This window comes from Homo sapiens, chromosome 5, assembly GCF_000001405.40.
Source record: "Homo sapiens chromosome 5, GRCh38.p14 Primary Assembly".
Taxonomy (NCBI): domain Eukaryota; kingdom Metazoa; phylum Chordata; class Mammalia; order Primates; family Hominidae; genus Homo; species Homo sapiens.
This window is the reverse complement of record NC_000005.10, coordinates 109375296-109390374: the sequence shown is the minus strand read 5'-3', so window position 1 is coordinate 109390374 and position 15079 is coordinate 109375296. Positions and strand designations below refer to the sequence as shown.

General features: G+C 35.0%; 1 protein-coding gene across 1 annotated transcript in view; it reads left to right on the top strand.

The window, feature by feature from the left end:
• PJA2 (praja ring finger ubiquitin ligase 2) overlaps positions 1 to 15079 on the top strand; it is a 75253-nt gene that overhangs the window by 19600 nt on the left and 40574 nt on the right. Inside the window, exons 2-4 of the mRNA NM_014819.5 lie at positions 6855 to 6972; positions 8672 to 8872; positions 11121 to 12171. Coding sequence (NP_055634.3) covers positions 6942 to 6972; positions 8672 to 8872; positions 11121 to 12171 — 1283 coding nt within the window. The 5' untranslated portion in view covers positions 6855 to 6941. The remainder of the gene's footprint in view (positions 1 to 6854; positions 6973 to 8671; positions 8873 to 11120; positions 12172 to 15079) is intronic.

Sequence of the window (15079 nt, the reverse complement as noted above, 5' to 3'; positions counted from 1 at the left end):
AGATTTAAGGAGAGAAGTGTTATGAGAGATAAGAGAAAAAAAAATCATGATGAGTGGGCCAATTTATCAAGAAGACATAATTCTAAATATGTTTTCACATAGTAACACAGCTTCCAAATATGTAAGACAGAAGCTAAAATAGCTAAAAAGAAAGGTAGATCTGTATTCCTAGCTGGAGATTTTAAATACATTCAAAGTAACTGGTAGAACAATAAGATTTAAAAAAGTTTTAGTAAAGGAATAAGAAATTTGAATGGTATGATTAATCAACTTAACCTAATTGACATTTATAGAACATTATATTCAACAACTGAAGGCTTTACATTATTTTTAAGTGCATATGGGACATGTGCAAAAATATTCTGGGTCATAAAGTAGTATCATTAATCTTCAAAGAATTTAAATCATACAATGCATGTTTTCTGATCACTATAGAATTATATTACAACCCAATAACAAAAAAAAAAAAATAGACTGCAAATATTTGGAAATTAAGCAAGACACTTCTGAGTAGCCTGTGGATGAAAAACAAAGTCACTGTGGAAATTAGAAAACATTTTAATCTGAAAAATAATAAAAATAATACGTATCAGAACTTTTGGAATACAGCTGAAGCAATGCTTAGAGGTAACTTTATGCTTTAGATGTATAAATTAGTAAAGAACAAAGGTTTACAATCAGTAGTCTAAGCTCCTATCTCAAGGGAGCAATGAATTAAACCCAAGGAAGTAGAAAGAAGGAAATAGTATAAAAGTAGAAATCAATGAAACAGGAAAGTTTTACAGTCAGTTAGTTAAGAAAACTTTTAAAAAATGAAAACCTGTAATGACCTGATTAAGAAAAATGAGAGAAAACACAAATTACTAGTAACAGGGATGAAAAAAAGAGACTTCACTACAGATCCTCTCTATATTAAATTGTTAATGAAAGGGAATTATGTACAACTTGATAATACATTTGACAACTTGAATGAAAGGTCATAATCCCTGAAAAACACAGTTTAGTCAGCTGACATATAAAGAAATAGAAAATCTGAGTTGTTCTGTGTCTATTAAGGTAGTTGAATTTATCAAAAACCTTTCCACAAAGAAAATCCTAGACCTGATGGCTTCACTGACAAATCTGCCTTACATTTAAGTAAGATATAATCCTGGGTTTACACAGACTCTTCTAGAGAACAAGAAGAAGATAGAAAGATTTATTTGCATATTTTATGACTTTAGTATAATCTTGATAGGAAAACCTGACAAAAGCATGACGAGACTATTTTAAGCCAATATTTCTCATGAACATAGGTAAAAGAATAATCCAGTGAGATATAAAAGGGTTAATGTATTGTGACCAACATGGATTTGTTTGGGGAATGTAAAATAGCTTTCTAATAACATTTGTCATAGTTTGTCATAAATGCATTTTGTCATAAAGTTTGTAGTTCTTAATTTATATCTCAGTTGTGATAATAGGTGTAAATTATCAAAATTCCGTGTGTCTAAGGAATTCATTCACTAAAAGGAAATGCAGGGTAAGTTAATTATACAAGACTGATTTAAGAGGAATTTTAAATGTTTTTAGGGCATTTTGGAGGCATATATGTAAATATAAATATGAGAGAATAAAAAATATTCTAATGGACTTGGAAGAGTAACCAAGACTTTTCCTTCAAGTAAGGATCAAATTGTATTTGATTCTCAACCTTTTTTTTCTAGAAAAGATACTTTAAAAGTGAGTTATTTCTGGCTCCCAGCAGATGAGTCATAAGGGTGTAGATCCACGCTATCAGTTGAAACCCTTCTTCTGGAAGTTTAGCTGATTTTTGTCTCCCTGTGCCTAAATCTTCATTTTAATTTACATTGTTTGTATTTGTTACCTGTTGCAGGATAAGAGAGTAGAGTAACTTGTTGTCCTGCAGTGGACATAGCAACTCAGACATTTATCATCACATAGTCCCAGTGGGTTCGAAATTCAGGAGCAGCCTGGTTGCTGATTTTGGTTCAAGTCTCTCAAGAGGTTGCAGTCAAATGTAGGCTGGGACTGCAGTCATCTGAAGGGTAATGCACTAGGGCATTACCCTTTCCAGGTTGCTCATCCATGTGGCTGTTGCCGGAAGACCTTAGTTTTTGTGGATTTTGTCAGGAACGGTCAGTATTTCACCATGTGGGCTTTCTGTGGGTCTACTTGAGTGATATCATGATGTGGCAGCTGGTTTCTTCCAGAAAGAGTGAGCAGAGAAATTAAGGAAGCCACAATCCTTTTATTACCCTATTCTTGCACATCACACACAGTCACATCCATCACACTGTCTTCATTAGAAACAAGTCACAAGAGAGGGCTCTAATACTGAGAGCAGTTTATTAACTTGCCTAAATGAAGTTTGAATCCATGTGTGCCCAAATACTTAGCCCTCTTTTTCCATTATGTGACCACATTTCCATCAGAGAAAGGAGCACAGAATTATCTCATTCATTCATTCGTTTGTTCAGTAACTGTTTAAATATACTGTCAGACAATGTACTAGACAAAGTGTATGTAAATAAAAAATAAACAGGCCTTTGTCTTTAAATTCACTAGTTTACTGTGAGAAGTGTACCTTACATGTCCATGTTCTTCCTTGCATTCTTTAAAGATGATTCCTATTGTCTGTCCAGATCTGTTGGCATAATATCCTGGTTGAAATGATAAAGTGATTACTTCTAGGTTAATAATTCAGAGATCCAGAAATTAATACGTCCTTGATTGAGTCCTTTAATTCTTAGCAACACGTTTATATATTTGTTTTAGTATTAGTAAGAAGTATGTAAAAACCCCGAATTGTTTGAAGTGACTAATTGTCACAAGTAGAGAGCAGTCTGTTATAAACATGTTAGGTGAATAGTACCTGGAGGAAACAACTAATCAGCAAAGGAAATGTCTATTTAGAGAAAAACTAGGTGTTCCCAATTTACCTTAGCTACAAATTTGGACTGATTAATCATTTTAATCTTGACCCTAGCTATGGTCTTTATTCCCTACTTATCTCTTCCCTGTTTTGCTTTTTTTCTTATTTTTTATACTTAGAGATAGAAAGTGGTAGACGGAATATAGAGGTCTCGGATTAAGTAGAAATAATTAGTATCTACAGAGAGATTCTAGTCTATATTCATAACACAAGAACTACTATTAAATAATAATCACAGAATAAGAAAGTATGAGAAATTAAAAAGATTGTTACAGAGAGTAATGACAGGCTAAGAGAATAAGGAAAGGCTAAGGGAAAGAAGTAAAAATGAGTGAAATCTCCCAGTCTGTAGAGTGAAAATATGAAAGAAAAGTTTAGAGACAAATGATTAACCCATTTGGGCCAAATAAAGAAAAAGTAGTGAGGAAAAAGATGTATTTGAGACGTGTACAAGAGTCTCTAAATTAAAATAGCTCTTCCAGTGCTGTGTAGGAAAAATTTAAACATGGCCTGCCCCAAACAAGTCTTTGTGAAATTATAGAATACCAGCTATTTAGATAGACCCTAAATATTCCAGACAGAAAAATTTGGTGTTTCTACAAAATGAGGATAAATAGGTAGACAGGTAGGACACAGTGCCTTTCAGAGTTTAGAAAAAATGATTTTGTCTTGAACTGTACTAAAGTATGAGGGAGATAGTATTTTCAGATGTCCAAGGACTCAGTGTTTGCCTCCAACATATACTTGTTGAAACCATTATTTGAGGATCTTCCAGTAAAGGGAAAAAAAAAATGATAAAAACATGGAATTCAAAGTAGGGTACTTAACCTGAGCGGGTAGTACAATCAAAAGATTTCCACAGAAGTAGCTGATTAATAGCCCTTGAAAACACGTAGACTAAATTTAGATCAGGATGTTAGACGGCTCCGAAGAGTATCTTTAAGAAGAAAAGTGGAATCACATTAAAGAAAAGTTTAAGAAACAGGGTGATTTCCATGATTTCTGTACTGTTTCCAATTCCTTTCCTCTCTTTAGTAGCATTCCTATCAGGCATTTGCACCAACCATGCTACCAAAGGTGCCGCCATTCGCCATTATCCTCCATGTTGCTAAGTGGTCAGTGATAGGCCTTCATCATACTTTAACTTTTGGCACGATCAGTTCTGCCTAAAACACTTTCTTCACTTGGTGTTCACACTTCAGTATTTTTCTTTTCTCTCACTGCCCTCTGTTGTTTTTTCTGCTATAGGTTAAGCATCCCTAATTCAAAAATTTAACATTTGAAAAATGTTCCAAAATCTGAAACTTTTTTTTTTTTTTGAGACAGAGTCTCACTGACCTCAGGTGATTGCTTGCCTTGGCCTTCCAAAGTGCTGGGATTACAGGTGTGAGCAACTGCACCTGGCCCCAAAATCTGAAACATTTTTACTGCCAATATGGCACCATAATTTTAACATTCCACACATCAGTACTTAACAGAAGCTTTATTTCATGCACACAATTATTAAAAGTATTGTATAAAATTACTTTCAGACTGTGTGTGTAAGATGTGTAGGAAACAAGTGAATTTTCTGTTTAGACTTGGATGTCATCCCCACGATATCTCATTATGTATATGCAAATATTCAAAGATTTGAAAAAATCCCAAATCCGCACTTCTGGTTCCAAGCATTTTGGAAAAGGGATACTCAATCTCTGCTTCTTTTTCCCTGGCCTCTTCATATTTGATTTTCTCAGGGCTTAACTTCACTTCTCCATGTACACCTAGAGATCTCATCCAAGTTCATACCTGTTTTGGTATAATCTATACACTGACAACTCCCAAATTATACTAACAGCTCATAATTCTTCAGTCAACACCAGACTCCTATTTAATATTTCCATTTGAATGTCTAATAGATATCTCAAACTTAACTCATCCAAAACTGAACTGAATATATTTTCTTCAAATCTGGCTCTTCCACAATTTTTCCTACATTAATTGAAATTTACTCCATTTTTCCCATTGCCCAGCCTGTAAAACCTGGAGTCAACCTCGACCTTCTTTCATATCCTATATTAGTAAATTTTGTTGATTGTATTTTTACAATATGTCCAGAATCTGGTCATTTCTTACCATCTTTATTTTAACCCTGGTCCAAACCACTATGATCTCTTACCAGTATTATTTTGATAGCTTTTTAACAGTGCTCCCTGCTTTAGACCTCATTCCTCTTCATGCTATTCAATACAGTAGCCAGAGCATTCTTCTTAAAACAGAAGTCAAATATCTCTTCTGTGGTCAGAACTTTGATGGTTTTCCATCTCAGAATAAAACGCACATTTCAGCCAGGCACTGTGGCTCATGCCTGTAATCCCAGCACTTTGGGTGGCCAAGGCAGGTGGATCACGTGGTCAGGAGTTTGAGACCAGCCTGACCAATATGGTGAAACCCTGTCTCTACTAAAAATACAAAAATTAGCCGGGCATGGTGGCACACGCCTACAGTCCCAGCTACTGGGAGGCTGAGGCAGGAGAATCACTTGAACCCGTGAGGTGGAAGTTGCAGTGAGCCGAGATCAAGCCCCTGCACTCCAGCCTGGGCGACAGAGCAAGACTCGCCCTCAAAAAAAAAAAAGTTAAAACACTGTTAATTAGCACCTATGTTTTTGCCAGTATGTTAAGATTATTATTATTTTTATATTCCTTTTCTCTTTAGCTGTTGCTAACAGCCTCTTTTGATTCAGATACTTTAAAGGATCATAACTTGTTACTGAATTTATAAATTATATGGGTGAATGTGGGTTTGTACTCTTACGTATGTTAATATATATCTGTCTGTGATTAGACAGGTAACATATAAATTAAACTCATTTGCAGAGCTATTGCATTAATGATGAGCAATTAGCAGTAGCTCAAGTGTTTAAATAAATAAGGTGTTTAAATAAAAACTTAACCAAACTTTCAAAAAAACCACAGGTTGCAACTTCTCAAATAGTACTTTTCAAATAGTAAATAAATGCATTAATTTCAAAACAGAAGTTCTTTTTGTATTTGTTCCATGATAAATTGTAGTTTTTCCTGATTGAAAATAGGTTCTTATTTGGGATTAAATTATCTGATCAACTGACTATTGCAAAGAATAAATACATCATTATTTACACACATTAATTATTGTTATAAGCCATTACACATTTTTAAAAAATGAAGTTTGTATTCTTACAGTTACCTTTTAGCAATTCCAGGGCTAAAGGAACTTTACTGCTTGACAGAGAAGCAATGATAGCACAGTGTAGTAGACTCCCAAATAGTTTGGTTACATACCTGAGTCAGTACTTCTGATATTTTTGTTTGTTTACTTACAAATTATGTATGTGTTGTTGTCATTGACAGTCTTAAGGATGATATATACTTAGGCAAGGTTTATCAAGAGCAGATGTAAATCTGTATTTCACATAGCCATTTTGGTATTTCTGAGAGTTTTTGATTGGCTTGTCAAATTGTGTTGTATTTTTCTTGTTTTTATTTATTTTTGGGACGGGATCTCACTTTGTCACCCAGGCCTGGAGTGCAGTGGCATGATCTCGGCTCACTGCAGCCTCCACCTCCTGGGCTCAAGCAATCCTCCCACCACAGCCTCCTGAGGGACTAGAGGTGTGCACCACCACGCCTGGCTAATTTTTGTATTTCTTGCAGAGACAGACTTTCACCATGTTGGCCAGGTTGTTCTCGAATTCCTGAGCTCAAACTGATTTGCTCGCCTTGGCCTGCCAAAGTGCTGTAATCTAAGGCGGATCACAGGCATTTGCCACCATGCTGGCTACATCACATTGTATTTTTCTAAGTTTTATTATAAGACTTCACTAGGAGGAGCAGAAGTATCAGTTTTGCTATTTTTGTGCTTTTATTAATATATTGTTCAATTCATTGTTTCTTTGTAGGAATCTTCTGCGGCTTGTCCATAGTGTGAATAAAAACTAAATCACATCTATAATTCTACTGAACTGGTCACACAGACGCTGCCATATATGTCACAGTACACTGAAAAGGAGCCAGCAGGTAAGGAAAGTCAGTTCTTCTACATTGAGTACTTCTTGTTTTTTCCTCTGGGTACCTTGAGTACCAGTAAGTGACATATGATCATCTGACCTGTGGTCTTACTAAAAGGCTGGTTTTGATCCATATATTGAATATTTGTAAAGCTTAGTTTCTAATTTTTGATAGGTAAAAATAGAAATTCTGGTATTTTCTTTCCATACCCATTTAGCTTGGAAAGCTTTATGCTTTCCACTTCGGAGACTATTCTTTTGGTAGAATTGTTAAGGGCATTGGTTCTGGAGTCATACTTTTGGATTATTAGACAAGTTATCCAACACTTAATTTTAACTTTAATTTTTCAATTTTTAAAATAGAATACAATATCCACCTCAAGATTACTGATGGGATTAAATAAGTGTAACACTTGATATTATTTATACTCGATATGTGCGTGTATTATAAATACATGTTTGTTTCTGTTTCCTTCTTGGAAGTGATTATATTTCTTATTTTAATACAACTAAGAAATTATGTAACTGTTTCATTCATTCATTTATTCATTTTTTTTTTTTTTTTGAGATGGAGTTTCGAACTGTCACCCAAGCTGGAGTGCAGTGGCACAGTCTTGGCTCACTGCAACCTCCGCCTCCTGGGTTCAAGTGATTCTCATGCCTCAGCTTCCTGAGTAGCTGGAATTATGGGCATGTGCCACCACGTCTGGCTAATTTTTGTATTTTTAGTAGAGACGGGGTTTCGCCATGTTGGCTAGGCTGATCTCGAACTCCTGGCCTCAAGTGATCCGACTGCCTCATCCTCCCAAAGTACCGGGATTACAGGCATGAGCCACCATGCCCAGCAACTGTTGCATTTATTGACTATACCATATGCTGTGAGAAAATATTTTGTTTAGTTGCTGTGTAGTACATGTAATGTATAATTGACTAAGCAGACTTACACTTAATATATATATGTGTGTGTATAATAATGTACTACTTAGTGAAAGTTGCTGCTGTTTACTACTGTATACCCCTCAGTCAACAAAACTTAATTGTCAAGTCATGTAAATGTTGATGGCTTTTCTTACCATAACATATACCATTTATTGGTAGTTTTGAAGGCAGGGTAGTATGTGTTTGACCTGGCTCATTGCTGTTTTCTTTTGGATAGTTTTATCTGACGTTAATCTTTGGAACATATTTATTGTGATCTAGTTGATTCTTCATGGTACAGATACCATTTAAAGAGGTTACTTGTTATCTTTGACATAAATGTTTTCATTCTTAAAGTAATTGAAACCATCATATCATAATGCTAGTAATTGATTCATCAAATATGTATTGAGCACTTATATTAATATAATATATAAGGTACTTAATTTGGAAGATCTCCCATAAAGAGCTTTGGCAGTATAATAATTTGGCATATGAAAAATATTTTTTGATAGGTTTCATTATAAAAATCTGAAATACCTTAAAGAAACCAAATTTTAAAACATATTTTTTGAAGGGAAAAGGCCACTAACTCTTATTATATAGTACTTCATATTTAATTTTCTAGTGTGTGAAGAATAATGTTTTATAGTACTAGTAAGGTACACTTCATGTTCAGAAGCATATGATTTGATAAATAATAAAATATAAACTGAAGTAGTTTTCCCCAACAGGTTGCAAGAATAAAGCTCATTGCTGTTCCTGTTTTAATTTTTTAACTTTTTTTTCAGCAATGGACCAAGAATCTGGTAAGGCTGTCTGGCCCAAACCAGCAGGAGGGTATCAGACAATTACAGGCAGGAGATATGGAAGAAGACATGCTTATGTCAGTTTTAAACCATGTATGACCAGACATGAAAGAAGCTTAGGTCGGGCTGGTGATGACTATGAAGTGTTGGAACTAGATGATGTTCCAAAGGAAAATTCCTCAGGTGTGTAACATTTAATTATTTAAAGGTTATTAATAGTTATATAGGAATTGATCTTATAATTAAATTTTTGGGTGGGTATTATGCATGTCTGTGAGTGTAAATGCAGCACACTTCCTATCAAGAAATTCTATTTTGAAATTCTTATTGAATTTAATATTAATGGTGTATATATTTAAACATTGTAGAAGAAAATAGAATACAGCCAATCATTAAAATATAACCACACTCTCATAGTAGTGATTACGTTGTCATAACCTCCAGCCAAAGGAAATCATCTTTGAATCAAAAAGATATATTTTGAAATTTTTAAAAATGTGGATCAAGTAGAGATATTTTTTCCCTGCATATAATATTTAAATAACTTTTCTTCTTCTTCTTTTTTTTTTTTTGAGATGGAGTCACGTTCTGTTGCCCAGGATGGACTGCAGTAGTGCATCTTGGCTGACTGCAACCTCCATCTCCCAGGTTCAAACAATTCTTGTGCCTCAGCCTCCTTAGTAGCTGGGATTACAGGTGTTTGTCACTGCACCCAGCTAATTTTTGTATTTTTAGTAGAGACAGGGTTTCACCACGTTGGCCAGGCTGATCTCAAACTCCTGACCTCTCAAGTGATCCACCTGTCTTGGCTGGCTTCCCAAAGTGCTGGGATTACAGGTGTGAGTCACCATGCCTGGCGTTCTTTTTTTTTTTTTTTTTTTGAGATGGAATCTTACTTTGTCATCCAGGCTGGTGTGCAGTGACGTGATCTGGGCTCCCTGCAGCCTCCACCTCCTGGGTTCAAGTGGTTCTCCTGCCTCAGCCTCCCAAGTAGCTGGGACTACAGGCATGCGCCTCCACGCCTAATTTTTGTATTTTTTGGTAGAGATGGGGTTTTGCCATGTTGCCCAGGCTGGTCTCGAACTCCTGACCTCAAGTGGTCCGTCCAACTCAGCCTCCCAAAGTGCTGGGATTACAGACATGGGCCATTGTGCCCGGCCAACTTTTCTTCTTTTAATTTTATCCTAAATTTAACTTGGCTTGTTTATTTTTTCATCATTTTACAAAATCCAAAGGACAAGGAAGGCTTATTCAATTAAAATTTCTTAGTTATTCAATGGTTTTGAAAAAGTATTTTGCAGCTATCCATGTACCATAATTGCACATTTTTGGACTGGATTTGTCTTCTTCCTCTTGTTCTAAGCAAACTTGACAAGACATTTCTAGATTATTTTTGCTGTCATATGTAAGAATCTGAATTACTAGCTAGGGTCATCCCATTGAAGAACCCTTCGTTCCCAGCTACTTGGGAGGCTGAGGCAGGAGAATGGTGTGAACCTGGGAGGCGGAGCTTGCAGTGAGCCGAGATCATGCCACTGCACTCCAGCCTGGGCCACAGAGCAAGACTCCGTCTCAAAAAAAAAAAAAAAAAAAAAAAAAGAACCCTTCGTACCATATATCAAAGAACCCTTCGTACCATATATCATGGCCGAACTTCAGTTATTTTACAATTCATGAATTTTTATTCCAGCAAATCTCAAATGTCTTCATTTTTTTTATTAGTGGTGATGCAAGATAGTTATGCTTAAAGTAATTTATAGATATGATTTTACTCATGTTTCAGAATTCTCACAATTATGACAAGAATCAACATATTGATCTCTTTGTTGTTTTTCAGTCATAACTATAACACATCTAAAGTAAACTTATTACAAATGTATTACAACAATTCAATTTATAATCTGTCGAGATACTGAGATATAATTTTGTGAATTGCCAACAAAACACAATAGGGTCTAATTTCTCTTAAATCTGTAACTATAGTTATTATATCTGTCATAAGTACTTTTGAAGGTTTTTTGTTTTGTTGTTGTTTTTACCTGCATATAATAAAGAAGGTAAGTTTGGAAATCACTGGGAAGCAGATTGGTTACCCTAGACTCCACTTACGAGAGGCTTCCCATTGTATAACCTCTCAAGAGCTTCTCCTTTATATGTCTTGCAGAAGGCATTAGATATTAGGATTTAGATAGAAAACTGCCAAAGCCATGTGAGGGAGATGATAGTGAAAGGCTGTACATTGACATAAATGAACTCATAGAGTAATCAGTCTGCATTCTCAGTTAAGGAGCATAGAAGTGCTTGGTAAATAAATTTACTCATGTATTCAAGTAGTAATAATTGGTATGATTTCCACTTAAGTGATAGTTATTACATAAAATTTTATCTAAGTTAATCCTTTAAAATATGTTTTCTTTTGTTTTTTATGAAGGTTCCAGTCCTTTGGATCAAGTTGATTCTTCTTTACCCAGTGAACCTATATTTGAAAAAAGTGAAACAGAAATTCCCACTTGTGGTTCAGCATTGAATCAAACCACTGAGAGCAGTCAATCCTTTGTTGCAGTACATCACAGTGAGGAAGGCAGGGATACCTTAGGAAGCAGTACAAATCTTCATAATCACTCTGAGGGAGAGTATATTCCAGGAGCTTGTAGTGCTTCAAGTGTCCAAAATGGAATTGCATTGGTTCATACAGACTCTTATGATCCAGATGGCAAACATGGAGAAGATAATGACCATCTTCAACTTTCTGCAGAAGTCGTGGAAGGTAGTAGATACCAGGAATCATTAGGCAATACAGTATTTGAGTTGGAAAACAGAGAGGCAGAGGCATACACTGGTCTTTCACCACCAGTTCCCTCATTTAACTGTGAAGTAAGAGATGAGTTTGAAGAGTTAGATTCTGTACCATTAGTGAAAAGTTCTGCTGGTGATACTGAGTTTGTCCATCAGAATAGCCAGGAAATTCAGAGGTCTTCTCAAGATGAAATGGTTAGTACGAAACAACAAAATAATACTAGCCAGGAAAGACAGACAGAACATTCACCTGAAGATGCAGCCTGTGGTCCAGGGCATATTTGTAGTGAACAAAATACCAATGATAGGGAAAAGAACCATGGAAGTTCTCCTGAACAGGTAGTGAGGCCAAAAGTTAGAAAACTGATAAGTTCAAGCCAGGTGGACCAAGAAACAGGTTTTAATAGGCATGAGGCGAAACAAAGAAGTGTTCAAAGATGGAGAGAGGCTTTGGAAGTTGAGGAAAGTGGCTCAGATGACCTCTTAATAAAATGTGAAGAATATGATGGAGAGCATGACTGTATGTTCTTGGATCCACCATACTCAAGAGTTATTACACAAAGGGAAACAGAAAATAACCAAATGACATCAGAAAGTGGAGCCACAGCAGGAAGGCAAGAGGTGGATAACACCTTTTGGAATGGCTGTGGAGATTATTACCAACTCTATGACAAAGATGAAGATAGGTAAGGTCACATCCAGTACTTTTTCCGATTGTGTAGTAAATGAAGTGGTTTCTTTCTAGAACCATGTTTGATGGCTGGGCTATTTGATATGATCAGGGAATTAGACATTTTGACTTACCAAATATTTTTATTTACTGAATGCTAACCATACATGCAAACTACTCATTAGAATTTTTCACAAAAAAATGTTTTTGAGGTTTTTAGTAGTTTACAGAAGTAAGTTCAGATAATGATTATTATTATAAAGGGATAGAGATGCTAGTTCATGGTATTTCAATTAATAAAATGTAAAATAAACATTTGTTGTATTTTTTAAAAACCTACATTAAGCCAGTCTGGGTTTAAAAAGTGATTAATATCACAAATTATTGATTGGTAATACTTCATTAACATTGCCAGTAGTGACTAATATCACTTGTTTCCCTCTTTATCTGTTCTTCCTGTGGCTCTTCCTATCACTAAGTTTATTTTTTACTTATTTTTTCTTAGCATTCAATTCTCATTAACAACTCTGTGTGGTAGATTCCATTATTTCCCTCATTTGTAAATAAGGAAACTGAGGCACAGAGCATTATATAACTTCCTAAGGTCACAGAGCAACTTAATGGTAGAGCTGGACTTTGAGTACCTAACTGGGTATTCCAGAGACTGTTCACCACTATTCTTTGCTATTTTCAACAGAACATAAAACTTATAATAAGCATTCTGATTGCTCTTACAAACCCGTATCTTTTTTTTCCAAACCATAAGACAACAGAAAAAGAAAAAAATGGAGAATTTCTTTGTTCAGTTGCTGAATTTCCATTACCCCAGTGTCCAGATTTTCATGAGTCCTTGTAAGCTAGTTGCATCCCTGACAGTGCTCAATTACAGTGCAATTGCAAGATTTTATTAGCTAGTGGAAATAATTGTGTGGTTTTTTTTTAGTTAGAAAGTACTATAAAGGAAGAAATTTACCATTTTGAATATGAATGCATTTTAATTCATGTCATAAAACAATTCATTTGATTTTCTTTGGACATATGAATTAAGCTACTATAATACAGATTGTGTAATTTATTATAGAAAATATTTAAAATATAATTTCTGCTGCTCTGTCAAAGTCTGTAAACTTTAAGGGTTAGTAAGTAATTTTTGTATGATATACTGTTTTTAAGCTAAAGGTAAAGTTTTTTTCAGTTCAAGCCCACAGTGTTTTATTCAGTATCCACACTTCTAAAAACAGAAATTGGCCACAAAGCCTGACCTGATGTTAACTTCCTGGATAAGCAGATCTGGATCTGAATTGAAATGAGGGTATTTTTTCAAATATTTGTATATTTTACTGCAGAAATATAGTTATGTTTGATTACTGTGTGTGGCCTGGACCATGTTGGGGTTTGTTAAGTAGTAGTTCTAAATCTGGGAAATATATATCAAAATTCCAAAACACATTTAGCCCTAAGATTTTGAAATAGATTGCAAGTCTCTAATATTATACCTCTAGGTTACTATTTTTAAAAAAAGACAAAACTTACAGTCTTTGATAATTTATTTTTTTGAAAGTGTAAGGTGCTTGTATTTTTTTTCCCCCAGTTACACTTTTTCTTCTTTAAGGAGAATCATTTAATTTGGCTATACCTTTGTCATTTTGGGCAAAATAAATACTTCTCTTCTGCTTGCTTTTTATAGTCAGTTATAATGTCTTATGATGAAGTTGATGAAATTGTTACATTGTTTGCCAACCCCTAGAGAAAGGTAGTCTTCCTGGCTCCTTGATTTTAAATTGATTTTCTTTGTTTTGGGGGTGGTCAGTGGTGGAAGTGTATTCTTTGCCTTGAAGGACCCTGGACTTTTCATAGTTATAAGGTATTTTCTTAGTTATTTGTAATTCTTATTCTTATTTTTAATTTTTTTCTTAAGTGATGTCAATATTCTGAACAATGATAGTTTTTTTTTTTTTTTTTTACAAACAATATATAGATGGGAAAAAACATTTACAGTTAATAGAAACTGTCCTTTTAAATTGCTAGTAATGTATTGACTACAGAGCCTGTGGTTAGGGTATGCCAAAATGATGGAACTACTTTAGGATCATTGTTTAAGACACATTGAAATGCTTAAAAGTTTCTTGTTTCGTTTTGTTTTAAAGAATCATAGAATAAATTCTAAAGGATAATGGTTCTGCCTAGGACTGTACTTATATTTTTATCCATAGCCTTAAGATATGTTTTACGATCTCAAAGTGTCTGTACAGTTTTCTGTACAGATTATTCTATTTCTGAACAGAAACTCTGTTTCTATGCTGCTGTGTCCTGTTCCTCTACCCTAATTCCCTGCAAAGGATTATAGTTGCCAGGGTGCCTTTTTAATATGGTGCCAGCTAAAGGTTGGAATTTAATAGCTGTACACTCCTATTTAGTTTCATTTTGCCCTTGTTCATCTCCCTGATGTTTCATTGTCATCCTCCCTAGTTCTTGTATTTGTAGATTGGAGAGATGGTGATGCTAGTCTTCTCAGGTTTTGGATGGAAAGTATAAGAGCTGCTGCTTAATTTGGGCCTGTGAACTTTGAGTTTTTTTGTAAAGCTTAAAAAGTTGATATACTTGAAAAGTTTTTTTTTGTCATGCTTATAATAGCCAAAGTAGAACTCATCAAGAATATAACTAAAGTTCATTGTGGCATTTTTATTTTTTTATTTTTTATTTATTTATTTCGAGACAGAGTTTCTCTCTGTTGCCCAGGCTGGAGTGCAGTGGCGTGATCTCGGCTCGCTGCAACCTCTGCCTCCTAGGTTCAAGTGATTCTTCTGCCTCAGCCTTCTGAATAACTGGGACCACAGGCATGCCATCATGCCCAGCTAATTTTTGTATTTTTAGTAGAGATGGGGTTTCACCATGTTGGTCATGCTGGTCTTGAACCTGTGACC